This window comes from Homo sapiens, chromosome 10, assembly GCF_000001405.40.
Source record: "Homo sapiens chromosome 10, GRCh38.p14 Primary Assembly".
NCBI classification, from domain to species: Eukaryota; Metazoa; Chordata; class Mammalia; order Primates; family Hominidae; genus Homo; species Homo sapiens.
This window is the reverse complement of record NC_000010.11, coordinates 24,531,090-24,558,620: the sequence shown is the minus strand read 5'-3', so window position 1 is coordinate 24,558,620 and position 27,531 is coordinate 24,531,090. Positions and strand designations below refer to the sequence as shown.

The 27,531-nt window shown below is 45.2% G+C and overlaps 1 protein-coding gene across 54 annotated transcripts in view, besides 2 other annotated features; it reads right to left on the bottom strand.

The window, feature by feature from the left end:
• KIAA1217 overlaps positions 10,778 to 27,531 on the bottom strand; it is an 853,117-nt gene continuing 836,363 nt past the window's right edge. For 11 of the 54 annotated variants that reach the window (NM_019590.5, XM_047425495.1, XM_017016417.2 and 8 more), the window contains 7 exons: positions 26,628 to 26,791; positions 25,384 to 25,551; positions 21,728 to 21,847; positions 15,851 to 15,928; positions 14,140 to 15,738; positions 13,518 to 13,640; positions 10,778 to 12,794 (listed from right to left, as the gene is read on the bottom strand). In NM_019590.5, the coding sequence (NP_062536.2) occupies positions 12,297 to 12,794; positions 13,518 to 13,640; positions 14,140 to 15,738; positions 15,851 to 15,928; positions 21,728 to 21,847; positions 25,384 to 25,551; positions 26,628 to 26,791 (2,750 nt within the window). In that variant the 3' untranslated portion in view covers positions 10,778 to 12,296. Of the gene's footprint in view, positions 13,641 to 14,139; positions 15,739 to 15,850; positions 15,929 to 21,727; positions 21,848 to 25,383; positions 25,552 to 26,627; positions 26,792 to 27,531 lie in introns of all 54 variants that reach the window. The other 43 variants (XM_047425513.1, NM_001282768.2, XM_047425517.1 and 40 more) reach the window with 12 other exon arrangements.
• Positions 16,967 to 17,261: an enhancer, noted in NCBI's record as "tiled region #10635; HepG2 Activating DNase matched - State 5:Enh". NCBI's record gives its function as "activates a minimal TATA promoter and a strong SV40 promoter by Sharpr-MPRA in HepG2 cells {active_cell/tissue: HepG2}" and the evidence as "EXISTENCE:reporter gene assay evidence [ECO:0000049][PMID:27701403]".
• Positions 25,273 to 26,472: an enhancer, noted in NCBI's record as "BRD4-independent group 4 enhancer chr10:24821078-24822277 (GRCh37/hg19 assembly coordinates)". NCBI's record gives its function as "activates an origin of replication core promoter dependent on BRD2, P300/CBP, MED14 and CDK7 cofactors, and independent of BRD4, by STARR-seq in HCT116 cells {active_cell/tissue: HCT116}" and the evidence as "EXISTENCE:reporter gene assay evidence [ECO:0000049][PMID:35650434]".

Below are 27,531 nucleotides of genomic sequence, written 5' to 3'. Positions count from 1 at the left end.
AATTGGGACTACAGGCACACACCACCATTTTCTTTTTTTTATAGAGACGATGTCTCGCTACGTTGTTCAGGCTGGCCTCGTATTCCTGTGCTCAAGTGATCCTCCTGCCTTGGCCTCCCAAATAGTGCTTTTTAATCCACATACTTTTTAATCCACACACTTACAGCTTCTAGCTCCTTCAGCCCTGCGGTGGACAGCAAGACTTCCTCCAGAAATTCCAAAATGTGGAAATGAAAGAACAGCAAACTCATGGTCAGCAGACCGCCTCCCGGGGATTCCCATTCCTGCCCCATGGAGTTTGAATTCCCAGAAAATTCTACTTTGGATCTGCCCTCTGACACTTGGCATTCCACCACCGGACACTTGATCCTTTGATTAAATTGTTGCCCTCTTCCTATTGCCCTAACATGCTTGGAAAGGAACATCAGTTTTCTGGTATCTCAGTTTATCACTTCCCCCAAAGATAGAAACGATGGAAGGCACAGAGGAGTTCTGAAAAGAAGCCCCAAGCTGAGGACAAATGCCAACTGCCTCACGTTTTCATTCGGGGCTACAGCTGCATATGGCTGGTACATTTACATTTAAAAACTTTTAATTGGCAAATAATTATATATACTCAAGGGGTACATAGGGATGGTTTGATATATATATATGTATATATATGGTATATGGTATACCATCCCTATGTATATATATATAAACCACCCCTATGTGTGTGTATATATATGATATATGGTATACCATATTATATATGTGTGTATATATGGTATATGGTATACCATATATATATATATATATATATGGTATAATGATCAGATCCAGGTGATTAACATATCCATCATCTTCGACATTTCTCGTTTGTGTTAGGAACGTTCAATATCCTCCTTCTGGCCAGGCGCGGTGGCTCACGCCTGTAGTCCCAGCACTTTGGGAGGCCGAGGTGGGCGGATCACGAGGTCAGAAGTTCCAGACCAGCCTGGCCAACATGGTGAAACACCCTCTTTACTAAAAATACAAAAATTAGCCTGGCGTGGTGGTGGGCGCCTGTAATCCCAGCTATTCGGGAGGATGAGGCAGGAGAATCACTTGAACTCGGACGGCATAGGTTGCAGTGAGCTGAGATCATGCCATCGCACTCTAGCCTGGGCGACAGAGCAAGACTCCATCTCAGGAAAAAAAAATCCTCCTTCTAGCTATTTGAAACTATATAATACAGCTGCAGCAAAAACTGAGATAAAGTTGAGAAATTCAACGAGGTGCACAAGTTCCAGATGACCACCAGATGGCAGGAGGTGAACAGTATTTTCCTGAGATGCAGCCTCTTAAAGGAGTCTTCAATCTCAAGTCTTAAAGAGTGTTAAATGTGGATGGTGTGAACAGTAGGAACTACGTGCCCCTCATACCTCGTCCCCCAGCCTGCACCCCACAGAAGAATATGAACCTACCTGACTTTTGGCAGGTCCTGCCTTGGGGTCCTCTGTGTGTAATACAGACATTGATTCCTGCACTTGATAATTTACTGACCACCACTCACCCCCACTGTCTGCTTTAGTTTCCACTAAGTGCTGTGAAGGAGGGTGAACTCATAGAGGGTGAGATCCAGGTTTCCTGGAGTGAGCAGCGTGTGAGCTGAGATCAGGATGAGGAAGTGGTGGGGTGAACATTCCAGGCACAGGAAGCAGCTTGTGGCTGGGGCTTGAGGAGGAGCAGACCAAAGAACAGGGTGGCTGGGCCAGAGGGAGCCGCGGGTAGGTGGGCGAGGCGCCCACTGAAAGATAGGGAGACGCCAGATTCCGTGGGGCAGGGATGCCACGCTTGACCTTGGGAGTGTCTCCTTTGAGGGATTTTAGACAGAAGGGGCAGGAAGAGGTCAGGGCCCCTTTCTCTGGAGTCACTCAGTGAGCGGACATTCTTTTTGCAGGAGGGGGAAAGTGTGCTAGGCCTGGCAGGGCAACTTCTGCTGTGCAATGGATTCTATTCATTTGTGAGACTGAAGAATGTGCAGCTGCAATCACTGTACAATGATCTAGTTATTCCTGAACATCTTCTTCCCTGACTCCATTTCCAAGTAAGTTAGCCAACTGTTTGAGAATCAAACAGCTCAGCTAAGCCTTCTTGGCTTAGCTTCCTAGAGTTGATGTCAGGTGAAAAAAAGCACTTCTCAGAAAGGAGTAGAGACCTCCTTTTCCAGCCCAGAGGACACCAGGGATATGAGGAAGGAGGCGGCTGAGGCCCCAGACTCAGACCCTGGTGTGTGTGGTCAGATGAGCTCAAAACCACAAAGGAGATAACACTCAAGGGAGGAGACCAAACAGGTCAAAGACAAATTCTGGCTTCCTTACAGATCTAAGAAATCTTAGGTCTCCGATATGGTTTGGCTCTGTGTCCCCACCCAAATCTCATGTTGAATTGTAATCCCCAATGTCAGAAGTGGGCCCTGTGGGAGGTGATTGGATCACAGAGGTGGTTTCTAATCGTTTAGTGCCACCCCCCAGTGCTGTCTCATGATAGAATTCTCACAAGATTTGGTTGTTTAAAAGTGTGTAGCACTTCTCCCTTTGCTTTCTCTTCTTCCTGCTCCCGCCACGTATGACGTGCCTGCTTCCCCTTCGCCTTCTGCCATGATTGTAAGTTTCCTGAGGCCTCCCCAGCCATGCCTCCTGTACAGCCTGTGGAACTGCGAGTCAGTGAAACCTTTTCTTTGTAAACTACCCAGTCTCAGGTAGTTAGTTCTTTAGCAATTCCAGAATGGACTAATACAATCTCTAATCCATCTGCAATCCTAAATCGGTCCAATGTGCTATCTTAGATCCAATCTCTTTATGGAGCAGTCCTGGATACCACTTTTAATGCCGGCTCAAACAAAGTGTGATCCAATCAACATGCTGCAGAGAAGGACTTAATATCTTCTGCAGACAGGACGGCTCAACTGTCGCTTCCCAACATTGGGGATCATCTGTGTTCCTGTTGCCTGGCAGAGGTGTTGACTGGTAATGATACAAGGTTGGTCCCTACTGTCCTTCATCCATAGAAAGGGGCTTTCATCTCATTTGTTTCAAATAGAATACTTGTAGGTAAAGGCTTTAAATAAAGCCAAAGACAAAGAATAAAAGTGTGTCCTAGGTATGGAGATACGGAGATGTAGGTAACACTAGAGGTGATCGTTTCACGGTGATTCAAGAACCAGGAGAAGTGGGAGAAGCAGGGTGTGAAGACCAGGCATGCATACAACATAGAGAAACTGAGGAAGGGCTGAGGGTGGTGAAGCAGCAGAAGCAACCTGTCTACATGCTGATGGGCAGGATTACGCGCGGGGTGGATGTTGGTGGTGTTGGGGAGGGTCTCACTGAAAGTGCAAAACCTCTGAGCAGTGAGGGACACACTGAGGGCAATTGGAGAGGAGAGGGGACCTGTTGGTTTGGGCCTGGTGCTGCTTATGTTTTTAACCTGATGGGCAGGGAACCTCCATGCCACCCTCCGGGGTCTTGCCTCGCAAGGCTGAAGTCTGGGATGGGCTCTCTCCTGCCCAGGGTTCCTCTGCTGGGACCACGAGTATCCGTTTCCTCACTCTCCTGCCCTATCCTCAGATCCCAAATCACAGCTGCATGAGCCACCCTCCCGGAATCTCTCTCCTTCAAAGAATGGCTCTGCACTTCTAATTTTTGGCTTTACCTATTGACACTATGTCCAATAGAAGCCTGGAGAAACATTTGAAATACATCACTAAAACGATATGCATTATTAATAGAACCTCTGTAACAAACGTGCATGAAATGTCTCATTCAGCCAAGTATTAGGAACCATTTTTGGGACTACTAGAATTTCCAGAGGCTAAGGAAAGGGCTATGTCTGTACTTTCCTGAAATCTAATCCCTAAATTACTCCCAGTTCAAGGGCACTCGTATACACATTAGCTCCTGGCAAATAAAACAAGCTCCAGACTTAGCCAACACTGGAAGGTCCCTGCAGTTTGGAAGTATCAAAACGCAAAGCCAGACTCTAAAATGCCCCAACTGACACTACCTAGAGGACAAAAATTAAGTCCATACATTTCAACTATTTATTTTAAAAACAGTTGGAAAGTTTTCAAAAAAATCCAGAAGTGGTGGCTGAGCTGTACTTTTTCAGGCGCGGATCTCCTGTGGTTGGTAACAGTCACCTTTATTTTTAAGGAACAGCACCTTCTCACTACGCCTGGGCCTCCACCTTTCTAGATTGACACTGTGGTTCTCAGCCTTGGCTTCCCATGAGAATCACCTGGGGGTATTTTAAAAGCCTCCGTTTGTTGAGGCAGCACCTCTGAGCACTTGAATGAGAATCTGTGGGCAGGGCCCAGGCGGCAGCATTTTGAAAGCTTTTTCGAGGATTGCATTGTGCAGACGGGTTTGAGAAGCTGGAACAGCAGCCGAGCCTATCCCCAGTACAGGGTCCAGCTTTCTTGGGTTCCTCCCCTGCAGGGGTGTCCCCCACTGATCACCTGTTCCCAAGGTTTTCACGTTTAAGTCAGAAAGGAGATGGTGTCTGTGGCAGGCTAGGGCCCTGGTTCTAAGTTCCTGGTACCAAGTTCCATCTTGCTAAGCCCAGGGCTCCAGCACTCTACCCTAAGACATCCATTCCCACTCATCGTTCCAAGATGTTCTCTTCTTTCCCTCCTGCCAATTGCTTAGAGATTGGATTCCTTTCATGTTGTTTTTTGTTTGTTTTTAATTGAGACAGAGTCTTACTCTATCACCCAGGCTGTAATGCAGTGGCATGATCTTGGCTCACTGCAACCCCCACCTCCCTGGTTCAAGTGAGTCTCCTACCTCAGCCTCCCAAGTAGTTGGGACTACAGGAATGCAGCACCGCACCCAGATAATTTTTGTATTTTCAGTAGAGATGGGGCTTTGCCATGTTGGGCAGCCTGGTCTCGAACTCCTGACCTCAGGCGATCCACCTGCCTCAGCCGCCCAAAGTGCTGGGATTACAAGCGTGAGCCACCTCGCCTGGCCCTTTCCTGGTTAACCATTTGGTCTTCCAGGCATGAAGGAAAAGAACAGAAATGCTAATACCAGTATGGGCTTCCTGAAAATCCCCCGGGAGTGGCAGGTCACTGAGGCACCCCCGGCTCTCCATGTGTACCTAAGGGCTGTTCTTACACAGGGAGGGGTCACTGGGCTGGGTACTTTGAAGATTCCCTGTTGGGTCCTTATGCCCTCAGGGTTTGTCCCGACTCAACAATGAGGCCCCTGTTCATTACTCTGTGCCAGTGGTTCTGAGTCACAGCAATGCCGCCCTTGAAAGGCAGTTTTGGGTATTTGTGGAGAGTTTTCTGGTTGTCCCAATGTTAGAGGCAAAACTGGCATTTAGTGTGTAGGGGTCAGGGATGCTGAATCGGGATGTCCTACAGTCAGCTGCCCAGGAAAAACTGTCCCCCACCCCCAGCACGACCTGGTCACGTCCCACTGGACATATGCGTAAGGAAAAACCCTGCTTATAATGATCCGAGTGTAGAGGCCAATTTTATTTTATATTTAAACACTTTTGCAGCCTCAAAATGTGCAATAAAATTTTTCAGGAACGTGTAAAGTGAGGGAGAGTCGTATTCTGCTTTGTTCAAAGCTTTCAACCAAGTCATTCGCTATTTGGGAAAAGTCACATTACCAGCCATTCACAGCGTTCGAGTCCCCGGTACGACTCGTCTCTGAATGTGAATTCTGCTGATGGGTGCGTGCATGGCACGGTAATAATTATACCTTTGTTATAGTGCCACTAGGACATTGTATTTTATTTTTGAAACAAGGCGAGTAGGTAGGAGATGTCATAAGGAATTTCATCTCGTACAAAACATTTGTAACTAAAAGGGGGCTTGGATCCATTGGAATTGAGACTTATCCTTGAATTTCAAAGGATCACTCTGAGAGGCTGAGGTGCCTACTCACAAGTCCCTGCCGAGAAGCCGAACTTCGAGAAAACCCTTTTAGGAGGCACTTGGGGGCCGCTTACCCTGGTCTCCAGCAGCTGAAGTTCCCGAAGGCACCAGCAGGAGGGGCGCGGTGAGGCCTCGAGGGGTGTGGTGAGGCCTCGAGGGGTGTGACCAGAAAGGTGGGGCGTGGCTTAGCTGAGGCAGGTTGAGGCAGTACCTGGAGGGGCGTGGCAAGGCCAGGAGGAGGTGGGGCCTGGTACGGGTAGGACCTAGGCTGGGCTTGGCTTGGCTTGTCTGGGGTGTGGTCTTTCTGGCAGGTGAAGCCTTCCCTGCAGTCCCAGCTCAGGGCCCTAGAGTTGTAGTTGACCACTTGGGGCTTAGGGGAAGAGGAGTACCTATCCCAGGTTCCAATCCAGATTCACCGCCTTTCCAACAATAATACTAGATGAGAACATTAGCCTTTTAAGTGGAAGGGGTCTCTACCTACGCATCTTTTGAAGGTGAGGCAACCAAAATTTGCAATCTAATAATCCCACAAATGGATAATTTTCTGCATTGTGCTCATTCGTCTGATCCAGGAATGAAAAACCTCCCCTTAAAGCCACCTTCTTTCAAAGGGGCAACCTGAGCAGCCCCCACCGCAAGCAGGATGGCGAGTGCCCAGAGGTGCATACTGCACTTGTCACCTCTTGCCTGTTCTCAGTGTCCTGCAGTGAAGTGGGGGAGGGATAAATTACAGGAACTTTTTCAGTGTTTGTGAGGATTAAAAGACAATAGATGCAAAACACCTTAGCATTCTACGTGGCCCATAATAGGCAACAGATGGCAGTTATTGCTGATGTGTTCACAGACACAAGGATTAAGGACCACCCAATACGTTGGGCAATTAAAATATTAAGCATTTTGTGCAAATCGAAGGCATGCACTGTAAGCTCTCCTGCCTTCTTGGCAGAGAGTGGTGAGCATAACTTAACCTTCCTCGTTCCATCAGGGCGAACATTTGCTTCTAAGGTGGGCACCTGACTTGGAGCTAGATGGACATGCACCTTGGGAGGGCCTGGGACTCTCTTCTCAGAGGTGCTTTTCGGGTTATTCTTTCGGACATTACCTTCTTAGGAGCATAGATCAAAGAATGAGTGGTTGCCCGATGCCAGGGCTATGTTTTCCTGGACAACGTCAGCTGGCCTCTTTTGCAAAATTACCTTTTGAATTTTCAGTTGAAGCAGCTGTCATTCCTCTACTTCCTCCAAAAAATTTCCTGCTTGCTCTGAAATGCCTTTGCATTTACTGAGCCTTGGAGGTGGGGAGGACCTTAGCTAGAATTACAAGGTGGGGCATTCAGGAAGAGGCCCAGGTTTATGTTTTAAATGTGGCCTGCGGGGAGGGGAGTGGCCAGACCTGCTCTCAGCACCCAGTGGATGTGTCCCTCTTACCCCATGGGTCTGGCCCCTTGCACTCAAGCCCAGGAATGAGCATCATCTGAGGAATATGGGTTGGGGTGACCTGGGAGCACCTTCTCCCAAGCCTGCACATGTGACTTCACAAAAGAACCATAATTCTGAGCCATGATTCCCAGGGCCTTGGCTTTTCTCCATCTGTGTAAATGTCTATTTTACTTTGGAAAAAAATCCAGTCACAAGTAGCATTAAAAGAAAACCAGCTTCTTTAAAAATGCTGTAACGCTATTATAAGTTCTGTATTATACCTGTCAGTGCCAGGTGCCACCACTTCTGTGAAGCACCAGACAAGCCCGTTGCTCTGCACTCCTGTAGCCAACTGCCAGGACTGCTCGCACTCCCCCACCTGCATCAACTGTGACTTGATCTCCCCGGTATGTGTGCCACGCTTTCCCCAACTAGACTGATGCCTCTCAAGGGCAGAACTGGTTCCAGCTGTCACCGCAGCAGTAATAATCATCATCATTAACTTTTTTTGTTTTTTAGACAAAGTCTTACTTCTTGCCGAGGCTGGAGTGCAGTGGCACAACCTCGGCTCACTGTAACCTCAGCCTCCCGGGTTCAAGCGATTCTCCTGCCTCAGCCTCCTGAATAGCTGGGAATACAGATGTGTGCCACCAAGCTCAGTTAATTTTTTTGTATTTTAATAGAGAAGGGGTTTCACCATGTTGGCCAGGCTAGTCTTGAACTCCTGACCTCAGGTGATCCACCCGCCTTGGCCTCCCAAAGTGCTGGGATTATAGGCGTGAGCCACTGCGCCCGGCCCTCATTAACTTTTGAGTGCTCCGTATGTTTGACTCTGTCTTCAGAATTTTGTATACATCGTATTTAATCCTCCCAATGATCCTTTTTAGTAGGTGCTATTATTCTCCATGAACAGGTGAAGAAGCCAAAACACACCCAAGGTGGCACAACCAGAAAGCAGCACTGATGCCGTGGGCCAGATGCCTTCCTCATCCCATGCTACGTGCAGAAGATGCTCAGTGAGGGCTGGATGGACTGATCGTTGAATAAACCTGAGAAGCCACATGGTTTATTTCTAAGAATCTTTTTAGATACAGTGAATAACTGAATGGTGAACTTAAAAGACAGGCAGGTGTGGTGGTGCATGCTTATAATCCCAGCTACTCCAGAGGCCGAGGCAAGGGAATCACTTGAGCCCCGAAGTTTGAGGCTGCAGCGAGGTATGACTGTACCACTGCACTCCAGCTTGCGGGGACAGAGCAAGACCTTGTCTCTTCAAAGAAAAAAAAAGAGAGAGAGACTGTCTTAACTGAGTGTCTGTTAAGTGTAGTTTAGCAAAATCTGAAAACCCAAGAGCTGAGCTCATCCTGCCCAACATCATTCACTGTAGATATTCAAAGAACCGAGGTGCTATCGTGAGTTTTTATTGTTACAGTTTCTAACTTGGTCTTGAGGTTTCCCTGTCGAGAGTGGCCATAAGCCGAGATAGCCCCTCTTTAGGGAAGCCCTGATGGGGTGGGGTGCAGTTAGGTTTGGGTGTGTTGGTCAGCTAAGGCACAAGTGAGGAGGCGAAACCAAAAATGCACCAAACAGAGGAAATATCTTACTTACAGATTCCAGGGAGGGTGGTGGCGGGGCCTTCATGAGAGGTCTGGAGGCAGTGACAGCAGAGCTCAACCAAGAGGTGGGGAGAGAGTGAGAGTGAGCAAGCCTGAGGGGCTGTGCTTCTATCAGGGTCCAGGGGCGTTACCCCTTAGGCTTTCCCATGGGGGTCGTGGATTGGTTAGTTTCAAGAAAACACGTGCGCAGGGGAAATTTATTGACACGACTCTGGTATTAATCATCAGGTTTTACCACGGGCCCGCAGGTGTGGGGCATGTTGGGTTTTTGGTTGGTGGGATGAGGAAGGAGCCTGGGCTGTATTTTTCAAACCACCACACTGGGAGGCGAAGTTTTAATGAGGCCATAGAGGGCAGGGTACAAGGTTTCAAACAACTAGGTTGGCCGGGTGCGGTGGCTCATGCCTGTAATCCTAGCACTTTGGGAGGCCGCGGCAGGCGGATCACGAGGTCAGGAGATTGAGACCATCCTGGCTGACACAGTGAAACCCCATCTCTACTAAAAATACAAAAAATTAGCCGGGTGTGGTAGCGGGCGCCTGTAATCCCAGCTACTCAGGAGGCTGAGGCAGGAGAATTGCTTGAACCCAGGAGGCAGAGGTTGCAGTGAGCCTTGATCGTGCCACTGCACTCCAGCCTGGGCGACAGAGCAAGACTCCGTCTCAATAAATACTTAGGTCAGGCCTAAAAATGGGTACCAAGGCAGGAGCTATATTGCACTAATTTAGACAGGCACCTCCTGGGTCTGTGCTGTGATAGGAAGTCTTTGCAACACCTGACTCTGGTTTCTCCAATCATGGTAGTTTCTCCTCCAGTTTCCTGAAGAGGCAGGCAGCACTGGCTCGGATCTCAGGGCAGTGGATGGGACTGTGTGGAGTTTTCCCTTACCGGGTGAACATGTCCCATCCTTCACGACATTGGCTGAAACTACCATCACCTCTGTGACCTTGTCAGAGCTCTCTGGGAAGCCTGAAGCTAAACTGAAAAAGTGAGCCCACCATCTGCTGTTTTGCTGCTTATAAAGAATTTTCAGCTTGTCCATAAACAGAAGCAAATAAATTGGCATGAATTAGCTATGAGATATATTTATATATAAATGAATATAATGTCATTAAGGTGATTATGGGACATGATTGAAATGTTGGACCCTAAATACTTTCCTAAGTGCCACCTGAAACACGGGACTGCCATTAACATAATGAACAGAGATATGAATATTTCTGGCGGAGGCATCCTGAAGTAAGAAAGCCTGAAACTCAGAAACACTGAACAACTGAGTTCCAAAAATATTTGCTTTTTACATGAAATCACCAAATGAAACATTCTGAGGTGAAAAATCTAAGTAGTTTCCTGAGATTGTTCCTGTGGTTAATTCATAATCCTGGTATTGTTTTCACTAATTTTCTTCCCCCACACCTTTTTTTTTTTTTTTTTTTTTTGAGACAGGGTCTTGCTCTGTCATCTGGGATGGAGTGCAGTGGTGTGATCATAGCTCACTGCAGCCTCCACCTCCCAGGCTCAAGCCATCCTCCTACCTCAGCCTCCTGAGTAGCTGGGACTACAGGCACACACCACCATGCCCACCTAACTTAAATTTATTTATTTATTTTTGGTAGAGATGGGGTCTCATTATATTGCGCAGGCTGGTCTGGAACTCCTGGCCTCAAGTGATCCTCCTGCCTCAGCCTCCCAAAATGCTGAGATTACAAAGCATAAGCCACCGTGCCTGGCTTCTTCCCATTTTAACAAATGAAAACATATGGTGTAAGCGTATTTCCCTCTAGGCCAACAATAATTTTTTAAGTTGAGGACTCAAAAGAAAAAAAGCCAAGTGATAAAGACATTTTATTTCCACTTTACTTCTACTGGAAGTTTTTTAAAAAGAGAGAAAATAATAAGAGCCCCTCCAGGAACTGAGGGTGGAAACTCTGTATCCAGGTTTGCTTTCTGTCATCTACACCTTGATAAGCCACAGAGAAGAAAGCGAGCCAACAGGCCACATCCAAGGCACCACACTTGCAATTAATTTATTAGGAACTCATCATTAGTCACCCCAGAGCTTTCAGAAAAGTAGTGTCCTCTGAGTGGATGTGGTTACATCCCTCAAAGCGGAAAAACATTTAACTCGGTAACAGTTACATTTCGTTCTTTGACTAGGAAGTAGTTATAGTGACAAGGTACAAAAAATAATAAGCATGCAGCCCTTTATTTAGTTTTGCAAAGTCTCTGCTTATAGTTCTGTATATTACATGACTGTGTTATACAAATACATTTATTTACAAAAACACTCTAGCTGTGCAAACTTGTTGCTTTTTAAAAATGTATGGATACTTCCATTTCTGCCGGTCCCGATATATACTTTTAAAGCATGCATAAAAATTAACTTTGGTGTGGGAAAACTACTCTATGTGCTGTCACATACAGTATTTTTATGTCTATGTATATTTATATATTTACAAAAGTTTTTCGGTTTACAGAACCGTACAGAGTATACATTTTAAAATCCACAATGCAAGAGCGTGGGTTACCAGGTCTCAGAAAACAAAAGAAGGGGTTAGATACGCCAAAGAAAACAACTAGAGAATCTCAACATGTTAAAAAAGAAAAAAAAAAAAAAAAGGAAGGAAAAAAGAAAGAAAAGAAGCAAGCAAAGAAAACTAGCTTGCTTGGGCTAGCAAATTATTATACACACTTTTCATGGCAGTGCAATAGGTTTGATAAATTGCCTTCTACACATGCCTGTCTGTAGGGCTCATGTAGAAGTTCATTGGTTTTATAGTCTAGAACACTACTTTCAAATGTACAATGCTATAGTATCAAAATGTTTTGGCAAAAAAGATCTTGAAAGGAACCATGAAGTTTTGACAAAAATAGAAATCTGTAATAAAGCTAAATAACACTAAAATAAAAGGAAATATTATAGTATCTGTTTTACAATTTGTATAGTCACACTTGTGTAATTCTCTGTTCACTTCTAGTCTCCGTAATGAAAAATAGTTTTATACAAAACATACTAAAATTCTGGAATCATACATGTTTTATATGCTTAAGACAATTCTCCTGTCTCACACGCACCTTTCTCTCCCACCAGAACCTCTTTCTGTAACACATGCTTACTGCATTTTATAGGTATTGAGTATAGACTGTAGACACTATAGCAACTAGGTAAAAAGAAAACCAAACAAAACGAACGAGCTTTACTGAAATCTATTAATCCAGTATTTAGCACATATTTAGCATTAAGCCTCAAACGATACAGCAATATGTTACATTCTCTTGTGAAAACAGTTGTTGTAGACTGTTAATTTTTTTTAAATGTAACTCCGACTTGTGCCTAATAGGATTTGACCTTTAAGAGGTTTCTTTTGCTGTGGATGGGGTGGCTTTGCTTGAACTTCCATTCTGTGCCTTGTAGCTGGTGAGGCTGGGAGTATGGATGGTCCTGGTGCCCTTGGCACCTTGATTCAGTGAGACGGAGGAGGCAGGAGAAGGAGGGGAGGAGGAAAATGACAAAGGAGGGGGTGCTCGGCCATTTTGACTCTGCGGTGAGAATGAAAGATGGTGACCTTTACCTGTATGAGTGAGGCTCTGAAACTTCAAAGAGCCATTAGAGACAGAAGGGATGAGGGAGGCAGAGTGAGCAGGTGGTCCTGTTTGGGGGCTGAGAGGGTTAGAAGCAATCGATGGTTTAGTAGCAGGTGGATTAGGGAGGTTAGAGCTGTCACCACTAGAAGAGGGCAGAGAACTGCTTTTCCCAGAGCTGGGAGAAAGGGCTGGAATCTTAGAAGCAGGTAAGGAGGGGGAAGTAGGCTTAAAGTCCCCACCAGATTTCTTAGCACTTCCATTAGCCTGCAAATAAAGATGGCGGGAGACATTTTGTCAGAAAGGCGGTCACATGATCAACCCACAGGGCCTGGCAACACAGCCCTTCTGAGAATAATTCAATCAAAGAAAACCAACCAAACACAGTTCAAGGCCTGAGCTAAGTCTTGTTGTGCTCTACTGGACCTGGTAGAAACCCCCCATGTACATAGCAAAGGATGGACGGGAAAGGAGGAAAGGAAGAATACATTTGTGAGAGGAGTCCCATCATTCCAGCTCTACCATTTCCTGTGTGCCAGGTGGGCCATGCGTCTGGATAATTACTGGGGTGGGGGTCGGGCATTGTGACGGAGTGTTAATGTGCTTCTAACACAATACAGTCAACATAGACGTTAGTAGTGGTGACGTTAAGGGCAGTTCAACCACAGGTTGGTTTGTCTCTGCTTCCCGAGGTGTTCAGATGAAACACTACATTCACCAAAGAAAAGCCACCTGGTCTGGCACCGTGTGTTAACAGTTAAAATTTGGAGTTTGGAGTCACAAAGTAAAAGATGTTTTATTGCAAGCATGCAAAAGCGTGGTAAAAAAGTGTAACAAAGGTTTATTTAGACTTTCTTCATGCCCCCAGATCCAGGATGTCTATGTAAACCGTTATCTTACAAAGAAAGCACAATATTTGGTATAAACTAAGTCAGTGACTTGCTTAACTGAAATAGCGTCCATCCAAAAGTGGGTTTAAGGTAAAACTACCTGACGATATTGGCGGGGATCCTGCAGTTTGGACTGCTTGCCGGGTTTGTCCAGGGTTCCGGGTCTGTTCTTGGCACTCATGGGGACAGGCATCCTGCTCGTCTGTGGGGCCCCGCTGGAGCCCTGTGGGAAGGACCAGTGAGAGGGGGAAGAGAAGGAGAAGCGCATGAGTAGGTCATCTGTGAGGCTGCCCCACGATGTGCAGAGAAGCTCAAGGTGAGAAGCCACAGCCCTACATGCAGGACAGATCTAGGAGACACCAACTGGGGTTAATCAGAAGAATCAAACAGAATCAACTGCTCACTACTGATCAAACGGATTTTAATGTGAGTATCAGAGCAACCATTTCAACAGCACATGGCTGACCCAGCAGCCTCGTGTTTACCCAACACCAGTCAGCAACAGAGGCAAAAACAGAACTGATTAGCTGTTAGATACCTAGTTGTTGTTGTTTGGAAGGTGAGGGAGAAAGTATGAAAGAAGGGTTTCATGGCGAACAGACAAAAAAAAAAAAGCCACCTGAAAGAAAGCAATTAAGTTACAAGACACCTTTCACTAATGGTGATTATGGCAGATTTAGGAAAGCAGCTGGGTCTTTTCATTTTCCAGCAGACCAAGATACCTTACGTGAAGCTGAAGGTATCGACGTAGGGGGCTCTAGGGCAGTGGGACCTTCATCCGGAACTAGCAAGGGTCGGGGAGAGGCCTCTTGGGCTATGTGGGATGAACTTGCAACAGAATCTCTGTTGGAAGAACATGAGGTATCAACTAGGGCTTTGGGACTCATTTCACTGATTGTATTTTCGAGCTGTTTAATGGTCTGCTCCAGGCTATCCAATGTTCTGTAGGTGTTTTTTCTAATTTCATCAGTTCTTGAAATCGGAGATGTACTCTCGATGCTGGGCTGCTCTTGCCTCCTCACTGTGTTTTCAGGGGTGTCTTCAGGTTGAGACCTAGCGATTTCGAAGCGCTTGGCTTCTTTGTGCTGTTTCAGGGTGCCATCCTCTTCCTCTTCTTCATAGACTACCACTTGCAAAGTCTTCTTCCCTGTTTTAGTTCCGGTGCGAATGGCTTGAGTGAGAGCGGCGAGTTGCTTCTTAGGGAATTTGAATTTAAACTTTTTCTTGGGGCTTTCAAACTGGTCATCGGTCGCGTCCTCACCCTTGCATTCCGAATTTGGAGAATCCACGTGGCTGAACTTGTTCAGCTCCGTTCTGTTCATTTCCTGTCCTCCTGGGTTTCTGGTCTCTGTGGCCAGGGAGTGTGGCTGTGACTTTGTTTCCACCTGTTGTCCGGTTCTAAGATTGCCTGGGGCCACCTTCTTATGAGACATCTGGGAAGTGTTATTATTCTGGACTACAGAATCCCCATTTTCCTCCTCTTCCTCCTCCTCTATCTTTTCCTCCATCATCATTCTCTCTAATTCCTCATCACATTCCTCAAAGATAGTTGAAAGTCTCTTATAGGCAGACCGGATGTCCATGGGCTCATCGAAAATGATGATCACTGGTTTCTTGTCCAGGCACACGACTGGATCCTCATTGTCAGTCCCTTCTTGTCGGGGGGTCATCTCTTTTCTGGCATCGATATTAACCGTCTGTATGTCTTCTCCCTTTTGGCTAACAATATCATGCACCTCCCCACTGGAAAGAACCTGGACAGTGGTTTCGGTAATCATGAAGGCAATATTGTCAGTGGCTGCATTTTCTTCAGTGGGAGAACTTGAACTTGATTCTCCATCCTCATTAGGGTTCACGTTAGCATGCCTTGCCTCCTTGGGTCTTAGAACAACTTGGCCAAAATCTGTCGTGATAACCTCTTGATCTTCTGTTTTAAAATCATGCACGCTTGATTCTGTTAGTCTAGTGTGAGAGGAAACGTGACACTTATCCGTATTTTGCTTTTCCATCTCCTTTGTCTTTCCGTAATTCAGCGTCTGGTTCTCGGTGTCAGGTATAGAGTATTGCAGGCCTGAGATTTTAGACCCTTTGTTTATTTCATCTTCTAATGGACTAATGCCAGAGAAACCGAAACTGGCCTTAGGCACAGTTTCCTGGGAATAGTTTCTACTGTCTCTGAGTAAACTCATATTGGATATGGAATTTTCCTTCATTATGATCTCAGTTTTATATTCTGATGTTCTTGATGCATCAGAAATACTATTCTCCATTCCTCTTTCCCACTTAGGAGGGTCACTAGGTCTTACAGCCCCTGTGGTAACCTGAGAGGGAGAACGGAGGAGGGAAACCACACACGTTAATCAGCAATGGATCTGCAGAGGCAGGTACTTAATGTGCATGGTATTGGTCGGAACCCAGATCTGGTGAACTCACCTTTTGGAATTCCATTTGGGGGCCATTTTCATATTCAACATCAGATTTCCGTACATCTTCATGGAAAAATTCCAAATTCTGGTAGAATAGTGTAGGACATGTTACTCCACAAAACCACATCCCCCCAAAAAAGTGGACTATAACTAAATCGTTCCTTTAATTACATTTCTAAGACATGCGGGCCACGCATATTTCTTACACACCAATCCAAAGCCTACAGCTGTTTACCTTGGATTGCTTTGTTCTCCAACTGCCAAAAATGCCCTGTGTTTGCACAAGATGAAAATCTCAATTAGCAAAAGATTTCAAGAATTTAAAATTTTGTAGGGGAGTGGTGAAGAAAATAAAGGGACAGAGTCATTACTAACATGTCCTCTTTTCAACATCAGATTGTGAGCTTAGCAGAATTTAAAACCTGAAGAATTGTGAAAAGCACAATGTATGGGCTGACAGAAAGTTTTGATCCTAATCAAGATCTGCCACTAAACTGTGTTACTTTAGATAAGTCACTTTACTTCTTTGGCCTCAGTTTTCTTGCCTATAAACTTAGGAACCAGCCCAGGGGAATTTTAGTTCCCCTTACAGCTCATTATTTCAGTCCTCCCTCTGCTTCTGTTATGGAGATTATCCTATAAAGACATCTGCCTTGGTTGGGTTTGGCATTTGGGGACGAAAAAACATTATTTTCCCCTGATCAAATGACAGATTGAAATGCAGTTTGTACTGCAGGTGTCGAAGTGCCAAAATAACCTTCACACTCCTCATAGCCACGATGACCAAATCCAAATTCAGAGTGATCATGCTGTTACAATATAACCTCAATTCATATCCATCATGCTGTTACAATAGAACCTTGGTTCATATCCATCATGCTGTTACAATAGAACCTAAACATTCACAAAGCAGATATTTGAGGTTACATTGGTGACGGTGACGTCACGACTCAGCTTTCATTCTCTATATTTTCCAGTGTAGACTGAAGATACATGTCTTAGGGTCTCACCAAGATTCAGGAGTGAAGGATCCAGTGGTGAGGACCCAGGTATTCAAGGCGCTTCACCTGGAGGCCTGGCCTTTCCCAAGGTGTATCAGTAGCCTCAGGCCCTGACATAACACTAACACTAGTGATGCCTTGTCGGTTCCAAGGCACTGCTGCCCTTTCTTCATGCTGAGGTGATTGATTATAGCAGGATGGAGCACAATTCCCATGAAGGCTGCTTGGTTAAAGCAATGACAACACAAAGCACAAACACCCGGGCCCAGCCAAAGTCAACCCAGAGCAACCCCTATGACCTTACTTAAGAATGGAAAGACTGTTCATACACGCCTGAGGAATGACACACAAACAACGCAGTCAGAATTAATCACACGCAAATACTGTGCAAAGTACAAGGTACACGAGCCACCAAATACCTCCTGTTTTACTTCTGCTTGCTCCCCAGGAAGCCCCCAAACAAGTGCCATGATTCGGCTGCTGCAGCGGAGCCACATGGCTTCTTTTGTGGGATTTTAAATTTAAAATATGAAACAATGAATACGTCAAGTAAAAGGTTTTAAAGAAGAAAAATAATTGAGCTTCCTGTAATCCCAGCTACTCGGGAGGCTGAGGCAGGAGGATTGCTTGAGTCTAGGAGTTCGAGAACAGCCTGGGCAACATGGCAAAGACTCCATCACATATACGCAAAAATAAAAAATAAAAATAGGCTATGTGTAGTGGCTCATGCCTGTAATCCCAGAACTTTGGGAGGCTAAGGTGGGTGGATCACTTGAGGTCAGAAATTTGAGACCGACCTGGTCATCACGGTGAAATCCCATCTCTACTGAAAATATAAAAATTAGCTGGGCACGGTGGCGGGTGCCTGTAATATCAGCTACGTGGGAGGCTGAGGCAGGAGAATCGCTTGAACCTGGGAGGCAGAAGTTGCAATGAGCTGAGATCGTGCCACTGCCCTCCAGCCTCCCGGGCGACAGAGCAAGGTTCTGTCTCAAAATATATGTATATATATATGTAAATGAATTTAAAAAAAAGGTTTCAGCCTAAGGTTACAACTCCAAATATGGAGTCAGCATATCATGCTAGGACCCAAATGAGAATTTGCCCCCTGAATCGTGGATGGATTTGGCATGTGATCTAAAGACACACACGTGGCAGATGTTCTGGGGGTCTATTTACTGGAGGTTAGGGCTGGTGTCTGTTGGTTGGTCATGGCCTGTGCCATTCCCATCATTAAACGTTTCAGGCCAGGCATGGTGGCTCACACCTGTAATCCCAGCACTTTGGGAGGTGGAGGTGGGTGGATCATGAGGTCAGGAGTTCGAGACCAGCCTGACCAACATGGTGAAACCCTGTCTCTACTAAAAATACAAAAATTAGCCAGGCGTGGTGGCACACACCTATAATCCCAGCTACTCAGGAGGCCGAGGTAGGAGAATTGCTTGAACTCAGGAGGCGGAGGTTGCAGTGAGTTGAGATTGCACCACTGCACTCCAGCCTGGGCGAGAGAGCGAGACTCGGTCTCAAAAATAAATAAATAAATTTCAAAAATCCCCCCTGTAATATATGTATTTTAAAACTGAGTAGTAGCATAAATGCTCTAATGGAAAGTCACTAGGATAAAAATGTGAAGTTTGGTTTTCACACGACCTATACTTTTTATCACTGGGCTAGAAAAAAATGAATGAATGTATCAAAGCAAGTGCAGGAGCTTGGTCATAATTGTCATGCAAACTCACAGTGATTTCTTAGTCTTAGATGGTCAAGACTCTGGGTGAAAGGTAATTATGCCTCTTTAATATGTATTTATAGGCCCTGGGATTTGGATTATGAAGACAACTGGAAAAGCACTCAATAGGCATATGGACAATAAACCAAAACGAGAGACAGGGTTACAAGAAAATTGCATACAAGTGAAGAACTAGGCTGGAGTTTCAGTGATGACAGGAGAAAAAATGCTTAAGAAAACATCCGATTTATGGAAGGGTAAATACTTAGCCCTGGAAGAGGTTAATAAGGACCCAGAATTGGGGATAAGAGAAGTCTGATATACATGGTCATTCTGAAGAAGGTTAATCTACTGAGATTAATTATCCAGAATAAGCACCTGTGACTAAACTCAGTGTTGGGCACTCAATAAAGACCTGCTTATTAGCCAGTGGATCCTCAACTGAGATAAATGAGACCAATGGGATATGGATTTCTAATTATGGGGCAAGAAATCTCATGCCACTTTCTAGCCAATTAGAAATGCACGGTGGCTCACGCTTGTAATCCCAGCACTTTGGGAGTCTGAGGCGGGTGGATCACCTGAGGTCAGTAGTTGAAGACCAGCCTGGCCAACAAGGTGAAACCCTATCTCTAATAAAAATACAAAAAAATTAGCCGGGTGTGGTGGTGCACGCCTGTAGTCCCAGCTACTCGGGAGGCTGAGGCACGAGAATCACTTGAACCGGGGAGGGGGAGGTTGCAGTGAGCTGAGATGGCGCCATTGCACTCCAGCTTGGGTGATAGAGCGAGACTCCATTTCAATTAAAAAGAAAAGAAAAGAAAAGAAAAATTCTACAATGAGACAATAATGGTCTCCAGAGGGATCTTTGAGAAAGTCCAAATTCCCAGTCAGTGTTCTAGACAGAAATGGTCACATTAGCCTAAGTATAACATGCTATACCAGGCCTTCCATGAGTTAGTTTTAATAAGCCCTCATAAGGAAATTCCACATACTGAAAAGACCAATATATTTCCGGCTGGGTGCGGTGGCTCACGCCTGTAATCCCAGCATTTTGAGAGGCTGAGGCGGGTGGATCACGAGGTCAGGAGTTCAAGACCAACCTGGCCAAGATGGTGAAACCCCATCTCTACTAAAAATACAAAAATTAGCTAGGCATGGTGGCAGGCGCCTGTAATCCCAGCTACTAGAGAGGCTGAAACAGAGAACTGCTTGAACCCGGGAGGCGGAGGTTGCAGTGAGCCGAGACCACGTCACAGCAATCCAGCCTGGGTGACAGAGTGAGACTCGGTCTCACAAAAAAAAAAAAAAAAAACCAAAAACAATAAAAATCAATATATTTCCAACATGGTTTCATGGGTTCAGTTCAAATTAGTAGGTTTTCTTTCTTTTCCCTCCCTTCCTCTCTTTTTCCTTCCTCTCTTTTTCCTTCCTCTCTTTTTCCTTCCTTCCTTCCTTCCTTCCTTCCTTCCTTCCTTCCTCCCTCCCTCCCTCCCTCCATCCCTCCTACCCTCTCTCCCTCCATATCTCTCTCTCTTTCTTTCATCTCACTATGTTGCCCAGGCTGGTCTTGAACTCCTGGCCTCAAGTGATTCTTCCGTCTTGGCCTCCTAAAATGCTGGGATTACAGGTGTGAGCCACCATGCCAGGCCAGGTTTTCTTCATGAGAAACATTTATCAACAATAACCCCCCTTGGATATAGCGAGATTCCCTTCCCCCATTAACAGTGTCACATGTCAATTTATGTGGCAGAGAGTTTACACAAGGGTGCCGTGGTGGTTATGAGCCAGGGGGAAGCAAGCTGGCCTCCTTGGCAAGGCCTCTTGGCTGGGAGCTGGGAGCCCAAAACTGTGTCTCTTGAATGGTTGTGTTAGAATAGCCTTTCAGTTTTGTGATACTACATCTACCTCCTTGAGCTGTCGTACATGGACTGAGGTACCCATCTGTAGTAGCTATTGGGCTCTCTTGCATCTGATTAGTTTGATTTTGTTTAAGGAAAGCTAGAATCTTTGAATTCTGAAAGATAAGTCCCTGGAGAAAAATGTTAGGCCTTGCAAGCTTTTTATCCTGAAGTTTAGATGGAAGCTTAATTCAAGTAAGATGTCTTTATATCTGAAAATCAGAGATGCTCTAGGTGCAACTTAAAGTTGCATTTCAAACATTCAGGCTATGGTCGTTTCCCTAGAGTGCTTACTTATACAATGACAGCAGACTTTGTTTCAGAGCCTGGATTCTTTTTTTGACATCACACATGTATGTTAACACTAAAACTATACTGAACTTACTATCTTGGAAGGTACACTTTATAAATGGATAATACTTAGCAAAAATTCTGTTTGGCATCCTTGGACGTTTGTGCAAATACACATTTGTATGTTTCCATGAGGTTACACCAGTGTGTGGTGGTAGATACTTTCTACCATGCATTTTCTTTCCCAAATCAAAGGTTTTTACTTTTTTTTTTTTTTTGAGACAGAGTTTTGCTCTTGTTGCCCAGGCTGGAGTGCAGTGGCGCAATCTCGGCTCACTGCAACCTCCACCTCCTGGGTTCAAGCGATCCTCCTGCCTCAGCCTCCCGAGTAGCTGAGAATAGAGGTGTCCACCTCCACACCCAGCTAATTTTTTGTATTTTAAGTAGAGATGGGGTTTCACCATGTTGGCCAGGCTGGTCTCGAACTCCTGACCTCAGGTGATCCACCTGCCTCGGCCTCCCAAAGTGGTGGGATTACAAGCGTGAGCCACTGCACCCAGCCGATTTTTACCTATTTTTCTTAACATATATAGTTGTTTTTCTTTTTTTCCCAAAGGGTCTTACAAATTAGAAAAACTGCTAAATACTTGGTTGCTGTTTCTATATATTTCTTTCTAGAGTTGTTCTAGAAAGTACTGAAAGGTGTTCACTCTTTAGTTTGGGAAGATAGTGTCTAAATTCTGCATATACTATTGTATGCTGTGGGCTGGAACACAGTGTTTGCTCTGAAAACCTGAGCAAGATATCTCTGATTTTAACCTATGCCTGTGTCTCCATTAGTTAAAAAAAAGAGAGAGAAAAAAGACAGAGGGGACAAAGGTCGAGTATAAGAGCCGTGTTAGTGTCAGAGCAAGGAAGGAAGGACTCCCAACCGTGTGGCAAATGTGCAGTTGCCACGTTACCTTCTTCTCCTTGGGTGGCACTGTGGCGCCCGACCTAGTGTCTTTAACGTGACTGTCAGCCCGGGATGGCTCAGCATGACTGTTTGAATTTACATCCATAAAGGAACACTTCTGGAATGCCTAAGGAATTAAAATACTGAGGTTAACAGGGATCCAAGGGTACTGAGGAGAATGGAGGGAAACAGGCAGGAACAACCAGACGCTTGTGGACCCCAACCCGGGTCCTGCACGCAGGTTTAGGCCAGGGAGGCAGCACCCTGAAATCCTGCTCCTCACGTGCTCTCATGTTGACAAAGCTGGCTTGGAGGCAGAGTCCGAGGCAAAGGCTGCCTTCCTTTCTTGGGGAATGCCAAGATAAAATAGACATTACTACCTTTTCTGCCTGTCTGGGGTGAACATAAATTGGTACTTAGGAGGGCTTCTTGCTTTGACATTTAAAAAATGCTCAATATGTAAATAAATTAAAACAAAAAACTATCTTTCTTTTTTATTCCTCTTTTTTTATGAGTTTTATTGAAATTATACAGCAAAAGCTCACAAGACGTTTTAAACCTTTAAGTCTTACAATAAAAGTACTCTTAGCAATCCTTCTCTGAAATAGTAACAGGTACTACCGCGCTCCGAGGTGTTCTGAGGCTCATTTAGAGTAAAGTGATGCTTTTAAGCAACGATGTCATTCCGAGTGGCCTAGGAGCTGCCTGAACCCTGGAGATTTGTCTCTGAAAACTATAAGAGCCAACTGTTGGCTCTTGTGAACTTCAGTCAGGAAGGTCAGTTCTCAGACAAAGGGAGAAAGTATAGACATAGACTGTGTCTACAGGGCTAAAAAGGAAGCGGGCATGTGGGCAATGCCCAGATAATATGATCATGAGAGAAGGAGAGACTGGTAACTCAGGGACCCAAGTTTATGGACAACAGTGGTTCTCAACCAGGCTATATACCACCCAGGTTAAAAAAAAAATACTGTTGTTCTCAAATACTCTTGAGACCCCACTCAGAGAATACACAAATCAGAATCTCTGAGCTGTAGGATTTTTTTTTAACTCCCAAAGTAATTCTAATGTGCAGCTAGGATTAAAAACTATTTTTATTTGTTTGTTTGTTTGTTTATTTATTTGAGGCAGAGTCTCTCCCTGTCGCCCACGCTGGAGTGCAGTGGTGAGATCTCAGCTCACTGCAACCTCTGCTTCCCGGGTTCAAGCAATTCTCCTGCCTCAGCCTCCCAGGTAGCTGGGATGACAGGCACCCGCCACCACGCCTGGCTGATTTTTTTGTAGTTTTAGTAGAGATGGGGTTTCACCATGTTGGCCAGGCTGGTCTCAAACTGCTGACCTCAAGCAATCTGCCCACCTCAGCCTCCCAAAGTGCTGGGATTGCAGGTATAAGCCACTGTGCCTGGTGAAAGACCACTTATTTAAATGAATCAGCCTAAATAATTGCCTAGTGTTTTCTTTATGTCAAATGTTGTCATTTGGAGATATCTCTGCCAGCAGAAAGAATAATGTATGTCCTCCCTCAGTAAACATTCCAACACTGGTCCTAAAATCTGAAGGTGGCTGATGAGGGACTTTCTCTGGCCTTTTCTTCCATGACTGTTTGCTCCCCTGTCTCTGCTGTACCTGGTCTCCTTGCTGTTCCTTAGTCATACCAGTCCTAGCTTGCCCCGGATGTGTTTGGTTTATCCGCTTACTTAGAAAGCTGCTTACAAATGCCAATTGCCATCTCCTTTGAGCTATTAGACCCTCGATTTCAGAGCCTGTGTTTTCTTCTGATGCCTGGAGATGTGGAGCACAGAAAGTGGTTCCACAACTGTCCTTAGAAGGGGCCACAGCTGCTCCTTGTCCTGCCTTGAGAAGGTGCAGAAACAAGAGAATCATTATGGCCACTGGCCATTGATCGAGTTGCGGATTTAGCAGGCTGGGTTTCTATCCCAGCCAGAGGGCTAACAGGGTTTGGTTAAGTTAAGGTTAGAGCACTTCATTCACCACGCTTTTTTTTTTTTTTTTTTTTTTGAGACAGAGTTTCACTCTTGTCACCCAGGCTGAAGTGCAGTGGTGTGATCCTGGCTCACTGCAACTTCCACCTCCCGGGTCCAAGTGATTTTCCTGTCTCAGCCTCCCGAGTAGCTGGGATTACAGGCACCCACCACCATGCCCAGCTAATTTTTGTAGTTTTTAGTAGAGATGGGGTTTCGTTATGTTGGCCAGGTTGGTCTCGAACTCCTGACCTCAGGTGATCTGCCCGCCTCAGCCTCCCAAAGTGCTGGGATTACAGACATGAGCCACCATGCCTGGCCACCACTTTTATTATGTAACCACCAAGAATATGACATGAAGCCAGATATGCCAATGTCTGTACAGTGGTCAAAGAGGGCATCAAATATTTAGACTTCAATGGAGAAGAGTGTCCCTCAGTGGTGGGCTGTAAGTGGCTGCAACAAATTTAGTATTTCTCTTAGAGAGGTGTAAAAAATTATCCACAAGCCTGAAAGATACCAGCTTTATAAATCTGTAGTTCCTATGAAAACAATTATCCAAGCCTTCTAAAAACCTGCAAATAGCCTGATTGGTTGCGGGGATGTCCCAGGCTAGTCTGTGAGTTTTAGTGAAGTGTGAAAGGGCTCACGTATGTGACAAATCAACCAGCAGTTCTGTTTTCCCTGCAAAATCCAGGCAGCTCAATTTTGGCAGTTATTACCATGGAAACCAGAGTAGAACAAGTGCAGTAAAAACAATGTAGATTGAAAATTCTCCCTACTCCAAAGAAAAGAGGAAAATTTATGGGTTGGCACAAAGCCATTGGTACGTCGGTAAAAAGCTAACATGTTTTTGAGCCCCAAGGTGCTGGTGTTCCAACTATCTGATTGACAGAAAAATCCTATAAGAAGCATGAGGCAAATGAAATACTCTACACAAAGTTTGTTCTAGGAATTGTTTATATGTCTCTGATGAGACAAGTTCTCAGGACATAGACCTGGGGTAGAATCACATCCGTGATGGGAATGTGGGATCAGTTTTGGGCACAGCCTTGGCACGCCATCCTTCATCCTATGAGTGGACTGTGTCATAGTTAAAAAATAAATATCTAAAACTGATACAGTATCATTTCTCAAATAGACCAAGGAAAATGGAAAACAAAATAATTCAGCTTTTCAGAATATCTGAAAAGATGACATTGATATTGAACAGGGACCTGGTTATGGACCACAGGAGGCCAGTCATTGGCCTTGAGTCCATGATCCAAGGTCAGTGGCTCTAAGTGGTAAAGCCAAGGAACGGGAACCCACGTAACGTGTCCTTCAGTCTGTCCTTATCAAGACAGGACAATGGCTGGTATTTCTAATCCTTATCTTACTTGCTTTTGAAATGAAGCAGAATCTCTTAAGATGGAAAGAAAGGAAAGTCAATTTTACAGCCAGAGGTAGGAAAGCGTGAGTTGTTTTGTGAAATGGTCATTCCTTGCACATCTTATAGGCATCCTGAGAGCCTTGTTCAGCGCCATCTTGGGAAAGCAAAGGCTAAGGCCAGAAGACACAGCTTCTATGGTCCCGGTCCATGCGCTTCCCTGGCCTTCTCGCTAACAAATCTGTGAGTGCCATGGCTGGAGAGACCCAGGCGGGAGGCAAGGAGCCAATGTCAGTCACCTCATCCACATACCTGGAGTTCTGCCATTATTTTGTCTCCTTCTTCTTCTTCTTCCTCCTCATCCTTTGAGGAGGAGGTGGTGACAGGCGGTGGGGATGGGGTCCAGGCTGAAGCAGGCTCCTCTGCTGGATATTTTGTAGCTCTGGTCTGTGGGCTTGGTCCAGCATCTTCACTGCTTGCCTGTGGGAGATTGAAACAACAGATAGTGGTTTAACATCTCCTAGGTGCTAGCAAAAAAGGGACAGATCGTATGGTCCCTCACTGTCTAGAACACTTGCTTCCTAGATCTTAGCTGAGAAAATAGCTGAAAGGCTATTTTATTCCTTTGCATTTAGTTTGTATTTGTGTTTGCATAAGTTGTCATTTTGGTGAATGGATTAAATAATTATAATATAATTGGAACTCCTCAACATTCAGTGTCTTTGATATGGTTTGGCTGTGACCCCACCCAAATCTCATCTTGAACTGTAGCTCCCGTAATTCCCACGTGTCATTGGAGGGATCAGGTGGGAGGTAATTGACTCATGGGGGCAGGTCTTTCCCGTGCTGTTCTCGAGGTGGTGAATAAGTCTCACGAGATCGGACCGTTTTATAAATGGGAGTTCCCCTGCACAATCTCTTTCTTGCCTGCCACCATGTGAGAAGTGCCTTTGCTCTTCCTTCATCTTCTGCCATAATTGTGAGACCTCCCCAGCCACATGGAACTGTGAGTCCATTAAATCTCTTCCCTTTATCACCCAGTCTCAGGCATGTCTCTATCAGCACCCTGAGAACAGACTAATACAGTCCTCATGAAAGGCCCTCCCATACTGCATCTCTTTGGAAATTGTGTTTTACATTTAACATGAAAGCTAACACTTGGTTAGTTAAGTGGAATTTAAAGCTCATTGAACATCTTTCTGTATAGACTCCCACAACGGTGTCAGCTCACCTCAGTTACCTTTGGAAGATAATCTTTCTTGCGTTTCCCCCTCCTACCCTCATTTTCAATCTTATGATGCCCACATGGGAAATAGCTTGTGATTTGCATTTCATATTGTTGCAGCTAAAAGTAAAATAAGGATAAAACTCATGGTCTGGGTCTAGTCCAATCATACTGGCTGCCATTGTTCCATCTGTGGTGCTTCCTGGGGATCTTGTGTGGTCGAGTTACTACTTCTCTGCCTCACTACTTTTTATGTTCCAACAGAGAGAACCTTGTCTAAGGGTATCATCTGAACCCAGAGGCCAGTTTACCAGGGCTTAGCCTATCAGACCTTAGCGGTGATGTTCTCCTTTCTGCCGGTGTAGACCACATCGCCTGACCTCGTGGTGGTGAGTCCCGATCCTGGCAGGTAGCTTCGACGAGGAGGTGGCGGAGGAGGAGGGGGCGACTTTCCCCCCAGCTTTTCCAAGTCCTGTTCCGAATTTGGAGAATCTTCTGGAAAACAGTGCACCATTACAAGAATAATCTTTTTTCAAGAAAACATCCAGAAAGTCTGGTATATTGCTACAAACCCAATGCAATCTGATTTAAAAATTTTCTGTTCTCTCCATAGAGCAAGGATTAAGTGTATAGACCCTAAAGAGTGACTGGATTTAAATCCCAAAAAGACCCTGCACAAGTTACTAAACCTCTCTCGGTCTCAGTTTTCTCATCTGTTAAATGGGTAGTATAATATACTTTCCTCTGGGGTGTCATAAGGATTGAATGACTTATACGCTGAGCTTGGCATAGTGTAAATGCTATGTAAAGTATTACCTACTATTATTAAATAACATTCTTGTTATGGAAAAAGCTGAGTATTACTTGGATAGATAAAAAAAAAAAATTGAAGCCCAAAGGCAAATCCATAGCCCCTGGCTTGGCCTCCAAATACTTCATCCCTCAGTCTGAAAAAACAGTATCAGCAAGAGGGGTTTCTGCTGAAGGTCAATGTCAGAGTAGAATCTGGCTTAGGGAGGGCCAGAGAAAAAATGGGATGCAAATGAGAACAAAGAACAAAGTTGGAGAGGAAGTGGATTTGATTTTTTTAATTAAACAAATTTTTTAATTTTTTTTATTTTGTAGATAGGGTCTCACTGTCACTCACTCTGGAATGCAGTGGTGTGATCAAGGCTCACTGAGGCCTCAGCCTCCGGGGCTCAGGTGATCCTCCCACCTTAGCCTCCCTAGTAGCT